At 36.2% G+C, this 23,426-nt stretch overlaps 1 protein-coding gene and 1 pseudogene across 3 annotated transcripts in view; one reads left to right on the forward strand and one right to left on the reverse strand.

The window, feature by feature from the left end:
* The window catches only part of GPC6 (glypican 6), a 1,191,492-nt gene that overhangs the window by 802,059 nt on the left and 366,007 nt on the right, over positions 1-23,426 (forward strand). For all 3 annotated transcript variants that reach the window (XM_047429990.1, NM_005708.5, XM_017020300.2), the window contains exon 4: positions 9,142-9,307. In XM_047429990.1, the coding sequence (XP_047285946.1) occupies positions 9,142-9,307 (166 nt within the window). The remainder of the gene's footprint in view (positions 1-9,141; positions 9,308-23,426) is intronic.
* RNA5SP35 (RNA, 5S ribosomal pseudogene 35) lies at positions 6,883-7,011 on the reverse strand (annotated as a pseudogene).

Genomic DNA, 23,426 nt, shown 5'->3' on the forward strand with positions numbered 1-23,426 from the left:
GCTGTATAATCCTTTTAATATGCTCTTGGATTTGCTTTGATAGTGTTTTGTTAAAGACTTTTTAGTCAACATATATAAGGGGTATTTGTCTATAGCAGGGGTCCCCAACCCCCCAGCCGTGGACTGTGGCCTGTTAGGAACGGGTTCACACAGCAGGACATGAGCACCTGATGAGTGAGCATTACCACCTGAACTCCACCTCCTGTCAGATCAGTGGGGCAATAGATTCTTATAGGAGTGTGGACCCTATTGTGAACTGCATATGCAAGGGATCTAGGTTGCATGCTCCTTATGAGAATCTAACTAATGCTTGATGATCCGAGGTGGAACAGTTTCATCCCACAACCATTCCCCCACCCCCACACCTGTCCACGGAAAAATTGTCTTCCACGAAACTTGTGCCAAAAGGGTTGGAGACTGCTGGTCTGCAGTTTTCTTTCCTTATTATGTCTTTGTCTGGCTTTGGTATCAGGTAGTGCTGCTCTCTCAGAATGAGTTAGGAAGTGTTACCTCATCTTCTGTTTTTTGGAAGAGTTTAAGAAGGATTTTTCTTGATTCTTCTTTAATGTTTGGTAGAATTTACAAGTTAAGCCATCTGGTCCAGAGTTTTTCTTTGTCCGGAGGTGTTTTATTACTGACTCCATGTCTTTACTTATTATAGGTCTATTCATGTTTTTTATTTCTTCATGATTCAGTCTTGGTAGGGTGTATCTTTCCAGGGATTTTTTGTATTAAGGTTATATAATTTGTGGGTGTATATTATATTACCACAAACTGAGTGGCTGAAAACAACAGAAACTATTTCATAGTTCAGGCGCTTAGAAGTCTGAAATCAGATTGTCAGAAGCCAAGAAGTCGGAACTCAGGTTGTCAGGTGGTTCTTTCTGGATGCTTGGAGGGAAACACTGTCCCATGCCTCTCTCCCGGCTTCTGGCGGGTGGTTGCCAGTAATCCTTGTTATTTCTTGCTTATCAATGCATTGCTCCAGTCACTGCCTCAATCTTCACATCATCTTCTTCTTTGTGTCTCTGAGTGTCCTTTTCTGTCTCTTACAGGGACACTTTCACTGGATTTAGGGCTTATCCTAATGAAGTACGATCTTATCTAGATCCTTACTTTATTTATATTGGCAAATACCCTATTTCCTAATAAAGTCTTATTTGTAGGCTCTGGATGGACATGCATTTTGTCAGGATTCTATTTAATCCACCACAGCGTACAACTGTTCATAGCATTTTTATATAATCATCTTTATCTCTGTAAGATTGAGAGTAATGTTCCTTCTTTCACTTCTGATTTTAGTTACTTTTTCTTTTCTCTCTTTGATAGTCAGCCTAGCTGAAAATTGGTCGATTTGGTTGATCTTTTCAAAGAACCAGTTGTTGGTTCCATTGACTTTCTCTGCTGTTTCTCTATTTGCTTTTTTTGTTTATTTTCACTCTAATCTTTATTATTTCTTTTCTTCCACTAGCTTTGGGCTTAGTTTTTTCCTTTTTTTCTAGTTCCTTAAGGTATAAAGTGAGGTTATTGATTTGAAATCTTTCTTCTCTTTTAACATAGGCATTTATGGCTATAAGTTTTGGCATGTTGTGTTTTCATTTTCATTCATCTAAGTATTTTCTATTTTCCCTAGTGATTTATTCCTTAACCCATTGTTTGTATGAAACGTATGTGGTTTAATTTTCACGTCCTTGTGAACTTTTCAGTTTTCCCTCTGTTACTGATTTCTAGCTTCATTCCTTTGTGGTCAGAGAATATACTTTGTACGATTGCAATCTTTTCAAATTTAAGACTTGAAATTTAGTAATGCTTTTTCGACTGAAATTTATCAGTCTCTTTCTTGACTAAGTGCTCTTCTGGTTGCTGTATGTTTTTATTAGATTCCAGTGTTCTGAAAAGTTGATTCTGTCATGTCATTTTTTGCTAGTTTTGCTCTTTTCTTCAGTGGCGGGACTAATTATTGGCACTGTGTCTGCCATTTGTGTGACATCACTCATCTTCCATGCTTATCTTACAGGCGTCTGTTACATGCCTTCCTTCAAGAGCCCTCCCTGTCTACTCTGGCTTCTCAGTTCTAAGCTAATTGTCCTTTTATGGGTTCCCTTTACATTGCATTTCCCCAAGATAATAATTATTTCCCTCAAATGACTGAACATGAACATATTCTGGGCATCCCAATAATGGCACTAGGTTTCTTCTTTCATCCCAGTAAATGGATGAATGAAGGTTGCACAAATGAATAAAGATGAAATAAATTTAATTTCCCATGAGCTTACTACAAAGCCTATTTATAGGTTACTATTAAAGAATCAAAATCAGAAATATTTAACACAAAAGATACTTTACATGTAATTTAATCATTCTTTAGGATCTGGTGATATAAGATTATGAGGAAAATCAAAAGATCATAATCACAAGAGTCATCTTAAATGACATATTATGACTCATTATGACTCTTATGAGTCATCATTTAATGTGACTGTACATTAGAAACTGTGGAAGAAAGCATCAACTCTTGCCCAAAAGGACATTTAGAATGTATTCTAGCTGAATGTTTTACTTACATTAACTTATCTATCTTTTGAGAGCAGAAGATAGATATGTTTATTTGATTATTTTGGTTATATGATTTTCATAGAAACAAGCATCTGCTAGGTGTATGTTCATTGTGTGTATATATATATATATATATACTTTTAACTTTCACATATTTTCTTGCTTATTTAATATTTTAAGAAACAGTCACGTGTTACATTGGCTACTATTAGGAATAGCTAATGTGAGCATCCATGCATCAATGCTGGTCCAGATATAGAAATCTTAAGTGTATTAGAGACCTGAAATGAAATATTATTACATGGCTAAGAACATGCTATACCTCAAGTCCCGTTTAGAAAACATAAGAATTACTTGCTAAAACATTTTGACATACATGGCTAGCCAGGTAGATAAGTCTCTGTCCTACCCCACAATACAGCTTTATTAAGGATTCTTTTTGTATTCCTTGATATGTTTCAATGTGTTGCACTTTAGCCATAAAAAAAAAATTAGTGAGTTTCCAAATGAACTCAATGATTTTTGTTATTTTATTTACTTTTTGTTTATTTTACAAGGATCGTTGGTTATAAATTTTACTATATTTTCAAGACTAGTAAACTGTAATATCAATTACAAAATAATAATGTATGTCAATCATTATACACAAGCAGAAAATTAAAAAATAACTAAATCCAAGATGTAATGAATTCTTATCAAAATCTCACTTAGTTGGCTCACAAACTTGTGTCTGTCTTTTCAGTAGTGGGAAAATTAAATTGGAACAATTGACTATTTTCTTTTTTCCCAACTAATATTGTAAAAGATTATTGTTTTCAAAATAAATTTTACTGTGTATCTTTAAGGTATATATCATGATGTTTAAGATACATGGACATAGCAAAATGGTTACTGTAGTGGAACAAATTAATATACCCATCATCTTACCCAGTCACCCATCCCCTCTCAGAGAATCGCTGTAATCTTTTTCTTTAGCAAAAGTCCTGAATACAGTACACTAGTGTTAACTATAATCTTCATTTTGTACATTAGATCTTTCAAATTGTTCATTCTACATAATTGCTACTTTTCATCCTTGACTTATATATCCCCATTTCCTGACCCAATCCTAACCCTTGTAACCGCCATTTTATTCTCTATCTCTATATAATTGACCCTTTTTCCCCAGATGCCACAAATATTTGAAATCATGCAATATTTTTCTTTCTGTGTCTGGCTTTTTTCACTTAGGATAATGTCCTATATGTCCATTCATGTTGTGGCAGATGGCAGGAACTCCTTTTTTTAAGACTCAATAATATTTTATTGTGCATATATACCAACTTCTTTATCCATTCTTTCCATGATGCACACCTGTGTTATTTTCATATCTTGGCTATTGTGAATAAAGCTGCAATAAACATGGAAGTGCAGATATCTTTACAAGGTGGTGATTTCATTTCCTTTGGGTATATATAACCAGAAAAGGGATTACTGGACTTTATACTGGTTTTTATTTTTAGTTTCTTTAGGAACCTCCATATTGTTTTCTTTAATGGCCACATCAATCCCTTTTCTCACCAACAATGTACAAGGGTTCCATTTTTCTCCACACCCTTGCCAACACTTGTTATCATCTGCTTTTATCCTAACAGGTGTGAGATGGCATCTCATAGTGCATTCCTCTGATGACTAATGATGTTGGGAACCTTTTCATGTTCCTGTTGGCCATTTTTGTGTCATCTTTGGAGAAATGTCTTCATAAGTCCTTGATAAAAGATTATGAATAGCATGTAAAAGTTAGGTGAGAGCTCAAATAAGTATTAAAAATAATGTTGTCATCATCAGCTTATTCTTTGACCCAAGTTTATTTCCCAGTTTACTATGACTATCTGGAAAGTTACAGCTACATTATTTAAAAAATAAACAAAAATCCACATTACCAACTAAAAAAATAATCTCAGCTTTTTATTTCTAAAGAGGGATTGTGTTCTTTATTGTTGCTAAAAGAATACATTTTTTTCAGTAATTTTTTTTCTAAAGGTCCATACATTTACAAATAGTCCACATAAGCCCTCTAAGCTTGAGGTGTTATTCTATTTTAAATTTTAAGTATGAGTTTTTAGAACTCTTTTCTTTATTTTGGTTTTGCTAAACATATAGACTTATCTAATTTTTCAGAGTTTTTTTTTTTAATGTTGGATGTTTTACACAAACCAGTTGGTGGATCATTTTGGATCATTGACATCTACTCAACTTAAATACTGGTATAAATATTATCCAGAGGAAACTCATGATAAACTTAAAAGTACATGATACACCCATGGAAAGGCTAAAATAGTGACAGTCACATACACTGTAAAAATTTGGATAAAACTGGAGGTCTCACATATTGCTGGTAGAAATGTAAAATGTTACAAACAAGCTGGAAACAGTTTAGCGATTTCTTACAAAACGAAACATACTCTTACCACCATGTGATCCAGCAATTGCACCCTTGGGCATTTCTTTCAGAGAAATGAAAATGTATATTTCTACAAAAACTTGTACATAAATCCGCATAGCAACTTTATTCCTAATAAGAAAGTAATGGAAACAACCCAGATATCCTTCAGTGGGAGAGTAGTTAAATAAATTCTGATACATCCAAATAATGGAATACTACTCAGCAATAAAAAGAGATGAACTATTAATATATGCAACAAGTTGGATGGACCTTGAGGGCATTATGCTCAGAAAAAAAAAGTCAAGCTCAAAAGGTTACTTATTGTATGGTTTTATTTATATAGAATTCTTGAAATGACAAAATTATAGAGTTGGAAAATAGATTAGTGGTTGCCAGGTGATGGGGACATTAGATGAGGCGAAGGTAGCAAAAGGGAGTTCTTTTATGGTGATAGAACAGTTCTGTATGTTGATTGTGGTGGTGGTGGTTCCACAAATGAATACATGAAATAAAATAGCATAGAACTGTGTATAGACACACACACACACACACACACACACACACACAAGTGAATACAGGTTCATAAACTCTAAAATCTGAGGTCTACAGACTAGTTAATAGCAATGTACTAATGTCACTTTCCTCATTTTTATATTACACAACAGCTATATAAGATGTCACTATTGAGGCAAGTTGAAGGAAGGATACACAGGAGTTTATTATTTTTTAAACTATTTTTGAGCTTATATTAATTTCAAAATGAAAAGATTTTAAAGAGTATCTATTGTGCAATTATAAAACACTATGAAAAATAGAGATGTCTCCTCACACAATTGGCATTTAAAGCAACATTTTCAGAAGCTTACTTTTAAAAGTCTTCAGTTTGAAGTGATGATTTTTATTTTAATTCAAGCATGCCCTTGTGTAAGCTCAAAAGATGTGATTTGTGAACATGAAAGCTTCGACTCTGATCCCCTGGGCTCCATTTTCTTCTTCTTCAACTGCCCTTTATTTGACCAGGAAGGATATCATTTCCAGAAGTACTAGGAGACCCACATTTAACTTGAACAACATTGTTCTTTCAGATTATTAAGGCTGTTCAATTTTCTCTGTTGGTTGCTACCCCGAGTTGGAGACTCTTCTGAAATGTCAGACTGAGAAAATAGTACTGGTTCCAACACAATGAAAAAAACAAATGAAAAGCTTTGGAATGAATGCAATCAATAGCCTTTGAAAACAAAGTTAAAAAGCAACAATTGAATGCTAAGATGTATAAAATCATCTTGTTCTTTTTTTTAATTTGAATATCAATGTGGCCAAGAAATGGGGAAGCACAATAGAGCATTTGATTCAATAAGCACTTAACAAATACCCAAGTCATCATTGTAATACCTTATATGATGTGCATGTTGTGCATAGCACAAGGTTATAAAATGCGTAGCAGTGAAAGTTATAAAAATGAATGAGACAGTCCTTGGCATCCAAGAGATCTCAAATTTATATCCCCAATATTGGCAAATGCTCTAGGTTCTAATACCAGAACACTGAGTGAGAAGCACAGCATCATTTAATACCAATGGTGAGATAACCAAAACCCAACAGATTCAAACGTAGAAATACCTTAGTTAGCCCAAGTGAAAATTGGGTAGTCTTTGGAGAAAAGCATCAGTCAGGAGAGAAATTGCAAGGCTGTAGAAAATAAAATCCTGTGGTAAAGGTTTGCAAGTTAGTAACCATGCCCAGTAAGTTTGCAAGATAGCAACCATGCCAATAAGGAAAATGTGTAAGAATTTTAAATTTCACATTAATATTGTCTGAGGAATGCAAAATTCTTTTTCCTGTTTTTTTTTTTTTTCTTTTTTTGTGAATGGCTTGGGACACATGTGATAAAGGAAAATTCTGAAACAGTGCTGCTCAGTTACGGGTAAAACTTGGCACTATCTCCCATCCAAGTACTAACCTGGCCCAACCCTCCTTAGCTTCCAAGATCAGGTGAGATTGGGTGCATTCAGCATGGTATGGCCTTGGACAAATTTGGCTCTATCTACAAAATAGCCTGTCTGGAGATTACATAATGGCATTAATATATCCTTAAAAGAAAAGTCAACAGACTCCTCACCTTTATACCCATTTATTGTTTCTGTTTTGTTGTTGGAAAATGAGTTTTAGAATTAATCGATAGGAAACCCTTCTATGAATACCTTTATAAAGAAAGGCCAATTATATTTTACTTCATTTATTTGACTTACAGTATTTTACTCACTGACTTTCTATTGTTGATCATGTTGATTCTATTTTATTCAAGCCAGTATTGAATTATCAGGAAAAGTAAAAATGAAAAGGATATTACTCTGGGATAAAAAAAATTAAAGGATATTACTTTGGCATGAAAAATGAGGTAGGTTAATGAGGATGGGTAGAAGGATGGACAGATGTGTGAAAAAGCAACTGTAGAAAAACGTAAATTGTACCATGTAGGAAATGTGGCTGTGAACTGTAAAAGTCTTTCACCTATTCTGCATGTTTGAAAACTTTCATAAAATTTTGGAAAGAAAATGCAAAAAAACTCAAAAGGACAACTAGAAATTTTAGTGCCTAAATAGACAGCTTTATTTCCTAAAATAATTTTTTTAGTGATTTTGTCAACATACTGGGTAAAATTAAGAAAATGTTACAGAAACCAAAGGCTTGCATTAAGAATCTCAAAATTGATCCTAGGTAAGGGATAGAATCATAGAGAAATAGCTATAGTAATTGAAAGTATCCATTTATGTGGAAATATTTCTTGTTGTTCCATCAATACACTGGTGTTATGTTTCTTCAGCATCTGAATGTTCTTGTTACCTGTGAGCTCAAGTCCACCACTCTCCAAGAGGGCCAAATGATACAAATTAGATTTTTTTCCTCAGATCTAGAATGCAAGTACAGCAATGTATAGTTACTTGACTAAAATATCAAAGTGATATGGAACCAACCAAATGAATATGGCAACAATTTTTACATCTAGTCATGAATAAGAGTAGTTTTCTGTATTTGCTTTCTAATTTTGGTCTCCACTATCTTGTATGAGTTCATTCTCACATACTACTATAAAGCACTGCCCGAGAGTATAATTTTTTAAAGGAAAGAAGTTTAATTGATGCACAGTGCAGCATGGCTGAGGAGGTCTCAAGAAACTACAATCATGGCAGAAGGGGAAGCAAACACATCCTTCTTCACATGGTGGCAGTGAGGAGAAGTGCCAAGCAAAAGGGGAAAAAGCCCCCCTATAAAACCATCACATCTGGTGAGAACTCCCTCACTATCACAAGAATAGCAGGATGAGAGTAACTGCCCCCATGATTCACCTCCCATGATGTGGGGATTATGGAAACTATAATTCACGATGAGATTTGGGTGGGGACCATATCCTGTCTTAAATATTCCTTCCTCTTGAAGTCAAATTAGAATTCTTAATGAGTCTTAAAAAGCCCTTATTGGTTTAGAATTGATTAATTGAGGAGCCCTGATTTTCTGATCCAGGGCAAATAGGATTTCATTGTCAGTGGATACGTAGCTCCTCTGAATTACTGCAAGGATTGCTTCTCACATTTAACACTGGTCCCTGAAATTTTCCATGAATTTTCCAGAAGTGCAAAAGCTGCAGATGCCCAAAGATGGTACCTTGGCAGTTCCATTGCTTCTAAGCAGGCCTGGATCTTAGAGATCTCAGACAAGTTGATATTGATCTTTGAAGAAACGTTATGTACAAAGGAAATATATCTGCCAACCTCCTTTAGAAACAGGGTCAAATAAGCAGTTGGAAAATTTTCTAAATGTGTCACATTAAACTTTAATAATACCTACGTTTTTATGGGGCTTTTAACTTTGCAAACTGCTTTCACATGCATTATCTCATTCCATCTTCTATGGCAATGAAACAGTGTCTAGGCTTTAGGGCTGAATTACAATGACATCGATATGAAAATGTTGACAGGGACATGCAAAAAAGTTATTACTATGCCAAGCAGAAGAATTCAACAGGAATTGGATGGATTCAAGATCAGTAATTACAAAGGGTTAAGATTCTGCTTGTGGTTTATCACTGCTATTTTGTCTTTTTTTCCTCCTCTTTATCCTTCTTATTTTTGATTTTCTTTTTCTTTGCAATAAATCTGCAGGTCAGCCCAACCCCAGGGTGTATCCGTGCCCTCATGAAGATGCTGTACTGCCCATACTGTCGGGGGCTTCCCACTGTGAGGCCCTGCAACAACTACTGTCTCAACGTCATGAAGGGCTGCTTGGCAAATCAGGCTGACCTCGACACAGAGTGGAATCTGTTTATAGGTAAGAAGTGTTTAAATGGATCCGAGAACAGAGACGGGACAACAGCAAGTGTTTATGGGGCTTGATGGGTGGGTCAGAAGTTATAAGAAACCAGACACAGTGGTTCACATCTGTAATCCCAGCACTTTGGGAGGCCAGTACAGATGGATTGCTTGAGCCCAGGAGTTTGAGGCCAGCCTGGACAACATAGTGAGATTCCCATCTTTACAAAAAATAAAAAATAAGCTGGGCGTGGTAGCACACATCTATGGTCCCAGCTGTTTAGGAGACCGAGGTGAGAGGATTGCTTGAGCTTCGGAGGTTGAGGCTACAGTGAGCTGTGATTGCGCCACTGCACTCCAGCCTGGGTGACAGAGTGGGACCCTGTCTCAAAAAAAAAAAATGTTATGATGACTTTTAGAGACTAGGATGGTTTTTAAAACCATGTTTAGCAAATTATAAACATTATTTTACATTTTCCTAATGTTTTTACTGTATGTTATATGGGACAGTCCTGTTAAAGATTGTGCAACCCAGCTATATTGAGCTAACTGTTCTCTCTGATGAAAACAAAAGTAATCTTGTTGAAGTTCCATGCACTCCCGTGAGAAAGGACGCTTTAGAAAAGAATCTTGTAAAAAAAAAAAAGTCCACTGTACTATTTCTTTTTTATTTGTATTACCTCAGCATAGCCACACATATTAGCAAACAATTCTTTCCTTGAACTCCTAGAATGAAAATAGATCAATACTTTGGCTAAAATATGCAAATTTTCTATCTCATTCTGTGGAAAAGAAGGCTTTAAGCACACAAGCATGAAACAGCCTTCCAGTCTCTAGAGGGCAGGAGGCAGGGAGGTGGGGAGAATGGAGGGGAAGGTCTCTGAATCAAGGCTCTGTTCTTGGGTTGCAGAAATCATTCAAGTGGTTGCATGGCCCAAAGACAGTTCACAAATTGCCATCCAAGGATAAAAGGACAAATTTCATAGGCAGGCTTCTCCCAGGAAAATACACAGGCCTTGAAAGAGTAAATGTGTTTTCTCCCCCTCTGTCAAATAGCCTTCAAATAAAAGTACTTTCAATTGCATTTACTGCAATTACACAGTGACAAGCAGAGTGGTGAAAATAGCAGTGGCATTTGTCAGCCTCTGAGGGCCTTCGTCATTTATGCAAACCTCTAAACGAGCATGCACAAGTAAAGTGTTCTGACAACTAAGATTTGCATAGGATAGAAAAAAGATGTTAGAATTCAGAGAAACTGAAGCTCACTGTACAAAGATGTGCTTAGGTTAACAGGCCTCAGCTCTGATAATGAAACCCATTGGCTAATTCACCATTTTGCTTAGAAAGGCCAGAGGAAATGGTTTTATTTCAGAAAAAATAAATTGAAGTGCCGTTACCTCTCCCCACAGTGGGAGGACAAAATCTCTTTGTATGATCATGAGTTACTTTATTTGAAAAATGAAGGAATTTTTAAAAGTTAATCATTAAGTTATCCTTCTGACACAAAATGACATGATTCTTTACTAAGATTTTTGTTCTTTGCTAAAATTGTGGAGGGGTTATGAATTTTTAAAAATAAACTTGATCTTAGAAGATTTGGATTTTTTAGCAAAGACAGAATACCCAACTAATGCTGATAAAAAGGTACACTCATCAAGAAATCTAAAAAGATCTGCTTATTTTAAAGTCAGATTAAACCTCGTAGCATCATTTGGAGTCATATAGTCATCCATATTTTTAGTTGAAATGCCCTAATTCCTAGCACAGTTCAGTTGGCTTCAGTCAGCCTGCAAGTTATTGAAGAAGATGGGCATGTGGGTTTTGTTACTTAGAGCAGGACATGATTAAGAATGAGAATATAGGCTTTTTAACTTGTAAGAGCAGCAGTGACTTCTTAATTGGCTTTTTGTCCTCAGTGCTTACTGGCTGTTTTAACGGAAAACAAATCCTTATGCTTTCGATCAATTGAGTTTCCTAGATACCGATTTGATGTGAAATGGAATGTCTGGAAAATCACTGGATTCAAAACTAAAATTTGAACCAACTATGTGTTGCTGGATGTACTTTAATGAAAAGCAAGCGTGGTGGTTCGTCCTATATGAACGTATTTCATACCCTTTCTTCCCGTCTTTTTTTTTTTTTTTTGAGAGGGAGTCTTGCTCTGTCGCCCAGGCTGGAGTGCGATGGCACGATCTCGGCTCACTGCAAGCTCCGCCTCCCGGGTTCATGCCATTCTCCTGTCTCAGCCTCAGCCTCCCGAGGAGCTGGGACTACAGGCGCCCGACACCACACCAGGCTAATTTTTTTGTATTTTTAGTAGAGACGGGTTTTCACCGTGTTAGCCAGGATGGTCTCGATTTCCTGACCTCGTGATCTGCCCGCCTCGGCCTCCCAAAGTGCTGGGATTGCAGGTGTGAGCCACCGTGCCCGTCCCCTCTGTCTCTTTTTTTAATTAGTCCTAGATGTCTTTGAGAAAATTCTTCCAGTTTTCCTTCTTTGGGTTCTGCTGTGGCATTGAGAATTGACCACCAATACAGACTTATGGAGAAAAATGTGCTCTTGCTAATACTTGTCTGGGTGTGAAGTGTTAGTTCACAAATTTATGGCATGAATTAGTCAAATGTGCCAACTCCATTTTCCACACAGATACATCTCAGATGACAGTGTTACAGTGTTCATAAATGCGGCAGCAAAGATCAGTGAGCAAATCGGTAATCCAACAAAAATTATATATAATAGCCCTCTCTCTGGGTAGCACCTGCAGCCCATCACTTTGGGCTTCTGGCATCTCTTCATCAAAACCTTCACTCCTGTTGCTGTCAGTTGCATGTACCTTCCCTGCTAGCTACACAAATGTCCCAGTTTGTACATCTTATAGATGTTTTTCTTTAATTATAATGTGCCTATCTAAAATGTGAACAGTGGTATGCAATCGACCGTCAATAAAAACAAGAGTCAAACTGGGGGCACATCCTCCCAGTCTTTACAATGCCACAAATTAATTGAAAGTGGTTAGTGACTGTTTAGAGTTCAGTCAGTGTCTGGATCATGTCAAAAGAAAGTTAAGTGTTTTAAGCATTCCAGTAAAAACTTCTGTGGTATTCCAACCACTACTGAAGTTCTGTAGTTGGGGTGTGTGTGCGTGTGTGCATGCATGCGTGTGTGCGTTTGTGCGTTTGTGCGTGTGCATGTGCGTGTGCGTGTGCGTGTGTGTGTGCGTGTGTGTGTGCGTGCATGTGTGTGTGTGTGTGTGTTCTTCGAAAAAATCAGGAGTCTATTTAGGATGCATTTTCAAAGTCCTCCTCCAGGAAGTTTAACTCAGTTCCCTGCACAGAGGAATTGCTCAAAAGATTCTTACCAAGTAACTGTTATAAGAAAAAGAAACTCCATTTTTACATGAAGAACTTTTCTTTGAAAACTTCCTTACAACATTGAAAAAATGCCGCTAGACCTATTTTAGAGTACTTAAAAATCCTCATCAGCCTCAGGCCCGCCCCTTCACTTGCTTTGTAGTAAGTAGTGTATGGGGTTCCCCAGGATAAAGCACAACCCAGATTCCACTTGCTGCATCCAAATGAATGGTGTCTTACGTAGCACCCCTGAGCTAGGCAGGACCAGAAGAAACAGGAGAGTGGCTTTTAGCCTATTGTCACTATTAGAAACTATGCAGTGCGGTAGGAGAAAACCCTGTTTTAAGGCATTAACAGTCTCTGCTCAGGCACTTATCCCAGGTATTGCCGTATTTTCATACAAAACTTATCCCAGCCTAGCTTTTGCATGCTGCCCAAATGCAAAATGGTTTTCTTGAAAAATGTTTGTGTTAAATTAAAATCTCCTAGAGGGAGAAACAGTTTGTGGGCAGAACTCGCTTCAGTAATATCCTGTGGTTATTTTGAGTGTTTGGCATTGTTATCAACGCTCCATAGATAAGAATTGTTCTATTTCACAAGAGGCCATGTTGCAGATTACAACTAGCTCATGAACACAAAAGTCAAGGCTGAATTACATTTATATAGCTATAGTAAATCTTACATCTACTTTAAAATTGAGGATGTGTGGGACAGCTTCTGCAAACATCTGGTACCTTCTAAGATTTTATAGACTATGAGAACCAGAGAGAGATTTCTAAAAGATGTTGCCAATGAGGAGAGGCAAAGGTTGATGAGACAAAGGCAGGGATTCTGTATTATTTCATACTACTTTTTATCCCTAAGTGTTAGAGAATGCTTCTAACATCAAGTATAAAAGTGAGACCTGAGTGTTTTTGTCCCAATTATGCAACCTAATATTTAGGCTACCCCAGTTAGCAAAGACCCTAATAATTCAACTCACTATATTGGGTAAGCTAGGCATATACATTTTTTGCCCTTAGGGAATTTAACATAGTTAAAATAATTATAACAAACTATGACAAAGTGTTAGGATAACAGAAGCATGGGGTGCTAAGCCTTTACTCAGCTGGGGGACTTAACTTAGTCAGCGGGGAGTCAGAGAAGCCCTACTTTGTTAAGTGTAGAATAAAATAGCAAATAAGATTGTATTGAATTGGCATTGTCAAACATAATTGATGTTAAATAGCCACAGCATATATAATTGTTACACCAAAGCCCTCAGACAGTTTGTTTCCCGTATCACTCTCAATAGGTCTAGCATGATTTGTCAGTGGTTCTTAAATGCTCGTTTGTTTTATTTTTGACATTTTCTATGATCAAGTCTCACCTGCCCACTACTACTGTCTTGAACTGATGAGATTTGTGTTATTTTTCATCAGCAAAAAGTTGAGTTATCTTGATTTAGATGCCCTCCAAAGGGTGTTGTGGGGGAAGCCAGCAAAGCCGCTAGTATTTTTAAATTTAAGCCTTGGGCACTCATAGACCAGACACACCAGTGATATCAAACTTTCTGGGCTTCTTCTTTTCAAACTTGCCAATTATTAAGTTGCCAGGCAGCCCAAAGACTGAAAACTGTCATAAGAGTATCAAACATGAAACCCAAGGTGGGCACTGCATCTGTGGCAGGCCGAGAGACCCTGAAGTGGGCACTATTCACTGATTCTGTCACATATTCATTAGTCCAACACATGTTTACTAAGTGCCTACTGTGGACTTTGTTTTGGTTTAGGCATGGGAATGGAATAGAGAACAGATAAGGCCCCTGTTAGAGAACAGAATAGAGAACAGTACCCAGTATATGTTCTTTGAATCGAATAATGGACCCAACTGTACAGAGAAATGGAAGGGAATATTCTAAGAGGCTGTTCTATTTTACTTTGTAAGTCTTTTCTTTTAATGGAGGTATAACTAATTCAGTAATTTAAAAATCACATATCCCTGTTGTTAATGGACTCATGAGTGCAGGGATGGCAGAAACAAATCAGATAATGTACCTGATTCTTTCATTGTGACAGCTGCTATCAAGTTGTAAATTAGAGCCAGCCACAAGGAAGCTGTGTTAGGTCAGTCCAATGACTAATGTCATGTAATAAATGGCTACTTGGTGCACAAATGACTTTCTTGGAACCTACAAGAGTTGTCAATTCTCATGGTAATTTGTGCATTCGTAATTTTGTGTTTGGGAAAATGTTGCTAGATAAGCCTTATTTGATATTAGAAAATAAACATTTATTGTTTCTACTGAGGAAACTCAGATTTTCTTTTGTAAAATGTACAGGACTGTGTTATGTTGCATTTTAGGAGATAAAATAGGCAGAAGGAACGATTTCAAGCATTTGCGTAAGATACTGTTCTTTCAAAGACCTTCTCAGGCATAAAAGTCCATAATATAATTCTGACAAGAAACTCTTTTAGTTACAAATAATTCCATAGTAAATATGATATGACACTGGCTGATATTCCTGAAATACCATGTTACAAAAACCTCTAGAATCTAAACATAGAAAATGATTTCCTTTAAACCAAAGAAAAAGAAAAACCCAAGAGCTGTATATAGCAGCAAACTTTCAAGGCTTCTTCATCTCTACTTTATGTAATACAAGAGCCTATTTAATAATACAGTCTAGAAACGCAACCCTGAAATTGAGGAACAAAAGCCAAAGCAATTATTTTAAAATCTGTTCTGTTAGCTAGAGGACTCGCATTTGCCCTTGAGCATTCGTGAAAGCACCAGGAAAGACTTTTTTAAAAAAACAAAGAACACTGTTTTCTGTCAGGTGAAATCTAACACCATCCAACCCTCTGTCTTTCTTTTACAGTCATTGACTCAATATTTCTCATTTCTTGTGGGCATTTATCATATGTTGTGTTCTCATGTAATGCTGGCAGGATGCATAAGCCGTACTAACTACTTGCTGAGAGAAAGAAAGAAAGAAGGAAGGAAGGAAGGAAGGAAGGAAGGAAGGAAGGAAGGAAGGAAGGAAAGAAAGAAAGAAAAGAGTTGGCTGGCACCCAACAGCCTGTCGCTGGCTACATTTGCTATCAATTACCTAAGTTTAGAAAACGGTTTACTCTGAACTCTGCATATGTGAAAGTGTTTTTATGTGATACAATAGGGTTAATGCCTTAAGGTTGGTGGCATAATGTGTGGGTATTCAGCAGATATAGAGACAGGCATTTCTTAACCTCTGAACACTTACTAATGTTGATCTTGAGGCAACAACTCAAGGGATTCACAGAAGCACAATTTCTATTTTGAATCAAGCAATTTTCCCATGGATCAAAGGAGGCAACATACATCAGACCTAAAATTGCTGGATACAATAGGCAAGTCGTCATTCTAGGGGATGTGTGTGTGGGTGTGTGTATTTCCTTTACGCCCAATTCCAACTTTTGTTCATCCATTTATTTCTAGTTCCTGTACACTCAACTTCTATGCAATTAATAATAGTAATTGTTCCATTTCTTATTTACTGATTACTGTAAATGATACTGTGTAATCGAGATTTTCAAGATGAGATTTATGGTACAAAATAATATTGGCACAAAGCAATGGTCTGAAATGAGGCATACCTATTGTGCAACTAAAATTCATTAGGAAGCAAAATATTTCATGTATAATAGGAAGTTTACTAAATATAGATATAAATATATATTAAAATATATATAATATGATAGGAAGTTTACTAAAGTACGACTTATGCCTTATCAAGCTTTTTAATTTCTATGAGAAACAACAACAGAAGAATTTAGTTGACCAAGAGAAAGCAGAGCACATTAAAACTATTCAAGGTAGTTAGAGAATTTGCCTTTGAATTTGGAATTTTGCGTTTTGATTTTAGTTTACTCTTCAATGTATTTTCTATAGGTAGTTTAATTTATTTATATATAAAACGTACTTGTTTTTAGTAATTGACATTTGACTTTAATAACATGTTACAATTTTCACTGTCATGTTTTCAAGTTCAAGCTATGACACAGGTGCCTGACTTTTGTCATGCCAAAAGAAAATATTTGATGATTCTTTACAGTGGAATTAAATCTATTCCAGAAGGCCAGAAACCCAGGCAAAAATCTTAACACTCTGCACATTAGCCCAATGACATTCTTAGCTATTCAAATTTTAGGAGATAAAAGGAACATGTGATAGAAGAAATTATTGTGATGTAGAACTAGAAAGTAAGGAACATAGAGCTAAGTAACTGGATCGTTAAAGAAAACATCAAACCACATAGCTATTCACAAATAGCAAAGTTGTAACAAGTCCCACGGCCACCATAACCAGAGTCCTTCACGTGGTGACCAATATAATAGAATAAAGGAAGGCGGTTTACCTCCTGAGGCATTTCGATTACTTTAAAAGTCTCAAGATTAGCAGCTAAAGTGAAAAGCCTTATTTTAACCCAAATAATGAATTAACACATCTTTGTGCAATGTGGCAACATTTTATTAAAATATTTTAATCATGAAAGTGTTAAATGATGGCACTTAGACTTCTTTTCTGACATAGTATTTACTTTGAATATGTGTGTGTGTGGATATATATATATTTCGATTGCTCTGAAACCTCCTTTAATTCATAGTTATCTCAAAAGTAGAACTGCTAATCATGTCTTTATATTTGAGTCATTTTTGAAATGAGTTTTCTTTTTCCTCAGGGTTGTTTCTTTAACAATTATAAAAGAGACTGCTGTAATCTCTTCATCTGGCTGTCTTTGTGACTTGTTTATTGTGAACAACTCTCTAAGGAACCAGGGGTGGAAACCAGGTTAGAAGAGACGGTCTCAGTGACTTATTTTAGTGGTTAAATAGATCTTTTCCTTTTGTTACTCTAAAGAGGGAGTGGGTATAAGTATTAATGGAAGTAATTTAAGCTTTTGGGAAGCTTCATGGTGTATGAAAACTTATGGTTGTAACTCTTTAAAAATATCGTGTCCATAGATACTTGGTCAGATATCCAGGAGAGAATTTAAATTAAAATAGAGCATGAAATATGCCTTGTCCTTCAAATAACAGCTCATATATAAATCCCACATGAAAAAGATATGTCCTCGATTTTTTTCTTTGCATAGATTTAAATAATTTGCTACGCTAAGAATTTCCTTTATTATAACCTCTGAAGAAGTGAAAATTAGAAAGAGAAATGAAAAGTAAGTAGTTGAATATATGGCATTACCCCAAGCAGGGATATATCTGTATGCATCACATTTTTATTCTTTAAGAGGCAGGAATCTTCTAGAAACATAACAGCGATAATTAGATGCCAAATAAGGCTGTCAATATTCACCACTAAAATCTCAAGGCTCGGGAAATTAGCTGATTTGAAAAAGGGCCTAATAATTCTACTGGGTGAAATGAGTAAATCAGCAGATGTGAGAAAGTTTTAGAAGTAACAATGGCTACCCATTTGGTCGCAAGAGCTGGTAGAGTTTTCAGACTGAATGAATCCCGGCAGTGACCCTCTCCTACCTCAGCGCTACATTTATCTTTCGGATTGTTTCACACCAGCTTGAAGAGATTAGTTATCTCATAGGAAGCAAAATCTCTCTTTTCTACCTGAGTTCATTGACTTCAGGAGGAGGGTATTCTCAAAATCCACCACAATCGTTCAACTAAACAGCTCTTTGTAGCCCTTGGTATTATCACTGGCACATGTGTATCCTGGTTCTTTAAATTCAGTGCCTCTAGTTATTGTTAGATCAGTTTCGTCTTTAAAATAGTTGAGTGTTCCAAACTCTTCTGAGTTGAACATACATAGAAATGTATTCCATAGTCCAAAGCCTACTGTTATGACTCAACCAGACGAGAGAACTAAAATCATCAATAGTCCTAAGAGGACTTCAGGAATAATTTTGCAATTATTACAGAGCACTTGGAGGATGAGGATCAGGCATAGGAGCTTACTTATAAAAGGCTTCTGCACTAAATGAAACACATATGTCCATTCATTAGCCAGCCTTGCAGTATTTTTCAATTAAATCCCTGTGGCTGAATTTAAAATGTTCGGCAAGTTCTTGGTGACCCAGTTTAACATGTGCCTAATACCACACTTTATTAATTAAAGATCCAGATATGCGCTTCCCGAGTTTGTCCCGGAGAAAATGTTTAAATGTGTCTTGCTACTCACTTGCAACCATAATATCTAAATTATAAAATTAAGCAAGAGTTATAAGAAATTCTATTCTTCTATTTCTATGGTTCTAGATCTCATTAGGAAAACATTATATAAATAAAAAAATACCTAATAGTATTTATTGAGCACTTACTTTATACCAGACAATATTGTGATTACTTTAAACTTTTAACCCTAAAACAACCTTATTAAGTAGTTAATATTATGATCTCCATTTTGCAGATGGGAAAACTGAAACCAGAGAATTTCAGTGACCTGTTCAAGGTCATACAACTTGTAAGTTGCAGTTCCAGGTTTTGGCTTCAGTACCAGGGTTATTAACCACGGTACCAATTAACTCCTGCTGAGCATTTAGGAAGTAACTGTTAATCTGTGACTACAAGGATTGATAAGCTATATTGGAAGAAATTGAGAATCTGATATTGCCAGCACTGTCTAATAGAATTTTCTGTGATGATGGAAATGTTCTATGTCTGTGCTACCAGCATAGCAGCCACTAGCCACATGTGGTGGTTGAATGCTTGACATATGTCTAGTAAGACTGAGCAACTCAATTTTTCATTTTATTTAATTTTAATTAATGTAATTAATTAATGTAATTAATGTAGTTGCATGTGGCTGTTGAACACTTACAATGTGGCTAGTGTGCCTTAGAAACTAAATTTTTTATTTACTTATTTTTTCCAGTTTTATTGAGGTAGAAATAAATGACAAATAAAATTTGTATATATTTAAGGTGTACAATGTGATGAGTTGATATACATATACATTGTGAAGTAATTACCACAATCAAGCTATTTTAATTAAATTTCAATCACCATATGTAGCTACTGGCTACTGTATTGGACAGGCAGGCTTAGACCATTAAAACATCTATAATTTGCTTGACATGGCTCAACCTCTGAATATGTTTCATTTTCCTAAAAAAAATTTCACTGGATGGTTTCTTTTTGCTTAGACCTAGACTAGGCACATACATGGTAAACACACCAAAAATAAAAACCACATAACCTGGACCTGAGATCTGAGAAATTATCATTTTCCAAAGAGATGAGATGTGTGCTTTCAAAGTGGGCTTTGGTTAAATGTAGAAGACATAGGTAAGAGCACCAGTCCTTGAGTCACTGCATGAGTTTGAATCCTGACTCCACCACTTATAACCTGTGTGACTTAGGGAACATAATTTAACCTGCATAAATCTCAGTTTTCTCATCCAGCAACTGGAGATAATAGTACGTACCTCTTAGCATTGTGAGGATTAAACTAGATAATTTATGTAAATCACCAAGGGTTAAGGCACATTCACAGAGCACTGAGGGCAGAAGAAATGTGGGCTCCTGTGCAGGTGAATAACCTGTGAAGGTATGAACAGAAAGTAGAAAGGAGGAAGCAAGAGAGTAAGCAAGCAGGTAGGAAAACATCAAGACACCAGAAACATGTAAGCCAAACGCATAATAAGGGCAACCTGGAAACCAGTGGAGAATTATCAACTAATTGTTAATCAGTCAGAACTGAAGTGACAAGAGTAGAAATGCACTTCATCAAGCAAGCTTCTTCTTATCCCTGTTTCTGGATTTGCCTTAGTTCCTGAGATGCAAGACCCATCCCAGCAGAGATGGCCTTACCCCTGCTCAAATGAATAAGTGCTTGGTGACACCAGGGGGGGAAAAACAGTGGTAGGAAGGTAGGAATAAGTATGATGTGCTTTGGAGCTTGTGAGAAAACCAGCGCAGCTGAAATAGACTTACTTGCTGTTGTGTACATGGAGGTAAGGTTGGGCAGAATTGGACAGTGGAAGCTTTAAAAGTCAGGCCAAATACTTGACCTTCTTTTGCCTTGTAGGCAATGACAAGGCACAGGGTTTTTTTATCCAGGGAATGTCAGGATCTAAATAGTAATCTGGCAGCTAAGTAAAAGATGGATTCAGATGGATGAGACTTGTGGTAGTAAGACTAGATAGGTCATCTAAGCATGGCACAAAAGGAGAAAGGGAGGCAGCAATAATGGTAGAGTTGGACATAAAAATTTATAGGACTCCGGGTCTAAATAGAGGTGACTGAAAGAAGAGGGCAAAGCAAAAAATACATCAGATATGACTGAGATAAGTGCCTGAGAGAAAGACAGTGCTGTTAGCAAACAGGAAGCTAGTTCGGGGAATGGCAAATATGGATTTCTTCTATCTCTTTAGGTCTTGTTGGATTTGAGAAACAGTGGGACCAAAAGTGGAAACATCCAATTGAATACTGAAAATAGTAGTGTTCTATGTTCCTGGGACAAAAGCTGGGATGTCACAAACCATTGGAGGGTTTTCACAGCCCAGATGTGGCCAACGTAATCAACTCTGACAGATTGTACCTGGAATTCCCCATCTTGGGCTCCATACAGATGGCCTGCATTTTTCTTCCCTGTGAAATCATACTGCCTTTACCCCTAAATATTAAACATTCAACAGCCTGCTAATCACTGTGTACTCTCAGAATGAGCCTTTGTCTATATGCTCCAACCTCTTTAATTAAATGCAGCTAGAATGTTAACAGTGCAAATATGAGAATGCTTAACATAATGATTTAACGGCCATGCCTCAATCGCTCTCCAAAATATGTTTTTAGACTCAGAAACCCTTTAATAATTATATTTATCATACATATTGACATTTCATAATTGCAGTCAGTTCAAGAGGAAATTGATTTTCTATTGGTTATGACTTTTTGCAATTCTCATTGCACGAAATCTAGAATTACGTTCTTCTGGCCATTACCAAGTTCTAGATTTTAAGCTGAAGCATGAAAGTTGTTAATTTTACAAAAACCTTCCCCAAAAGGCATTCATTTCCTTCACTGGCAAGAATATCACAAAGCAGCCCCTTGCTTCATTGCATGTCCTGTGGCATGATTGTCACCAACGAAAACACAATATGTAAGGACCAAGGTAATTATTCATTGGTTTCTGGACATTAAGTCCCCCAAGGAACAACACAAATATACATGATGCAGCTTCTGCAATGAAACATTCGAGATACCAGTGACGTTTTTTGAATCCCAAATTGCCAAGTTACTGATTTAAGAATGCCCTAGAGTATAAATAATTTCCCCAAGCCTCCCTAGTGACTTGTGTCGAATGCCTTCTGCTTAGCCCATTAAAGGTGAAAGCCATGAAATATTATTTGATTTGTAACACAAGAAAATGCCCTAAAACCACCTATCCCTCTTTGGAAAGCTGCCAGAACAAAGTGAGAGGAAAGGTCAAGCCTGAGAACGATGATTTCAGGTTGCAGCATGTGGCCAGATGAAAGGCTGAGCCTATAGGCTGCATTCAGTCTTCCAGTTTCTTCATAGAGGATTTATATTTATTTTTCCTAACTCACATAGGAGTCTTGGGTTTTGAGATCAAAATTTCAAATACTTTAATAGTGGCCATGCAATATTAAAAAAATTTAACAATGAATTGTGTTGAATGGTTACTACGTGTCCTTACTACATTTCCTTTGAATTCGATTTGGAGAAGCTAGTTTCAGGATTCATTTGATTTACATGTGGAATTGATAGATATTAAAATCCATTTCTTCTAAGTGCCTCACAATTGAAAAACATTATTTTAATTCTGTTGTGCCATGCATTGATTCCTATCCATTTTGATCTGTGATCACTAGACATCAGATTGCTTGTGAATTGCCAGTGAAGGTATGAACATCACAAACCTGCTAAATCAACCTTTAAAATGTAAGAAAAGTTTAATTTAGAGTTACATCCGGACATTTATAAGATGCAGACATTGATAGCTTGGAAGCAAAATGATAAAGTATATGCCTCATTCTGCAAATCAGTTACAAGATGGAAGTCAAATTATTCCATCTGAAACCTCTTAATTCAGCAGAGGAATAGCCACTTGAGAGCTATGATGGCAGTTTATGGAAGTGTCTGTGATCCTTCTTGATAAATCTGTATCCATTTACACAGAGAAGTCATAGTAATCTGTACTAATTGAGAGAGCAAGGATACAAACATCAAATTATTGCCTTCTAGAAGGCATTAGGGGACTTATTTTTAAATTTAAGCTTGACTTTTTATTGGCTACCTATTATCTGCCAGGTAATACCACGTGTGATCTTTTTATGCTTCCAGAAATAAGAATGAGCTTTAATTAGTATGTCATTTTTGCTTAAAGCATTTCTCTGTTTAATTTAGAAATCTTAACATTCTCCTGAACATACACAATCTTTTCTGGACGATCACTTAAAATGAAACTTTTAGCCAAGCCTTTATCTGAATGAATAAAATTTCAAATTAGAAGATTCTTACTTACCAGGGGTTTAGTATATATGCATTAAACTTGACATATAAGCTTTATATCCCAGGGACTTTGGTAAAGAAGTAGCTTTACCAATTGTTATTCTTTATTCTCGATCTTCCTAAAGTCAAATTATTTTTTAGCATTTGTTTCAAAATGATTTTCAACTTACAAAAAAGTTGCAAAAGTAGTACAAAATTTACATATACCTATCACTCACCTTATTCTAATGTTAACAACATACATACGTAACCATATGATATGGTTTGGATTTGTGTCCCCACCCAAATCTCATGTTCAATTATAATCCCCAGTGTTGAAGGTGG

Source organism: Homo sapiens, chromosome 13 (genome assembly GCF_000001405.40).
Source record: "Homo sapiens chromosome 13, GRCh38.p14 Primary Assembly".
Taxonomy (NCBI): domain Eukaryota; kingdom Metazoa; phylum Chordata; class Mammalia; order Primates; family Hominidae; genus Homo; species Homo sapiens.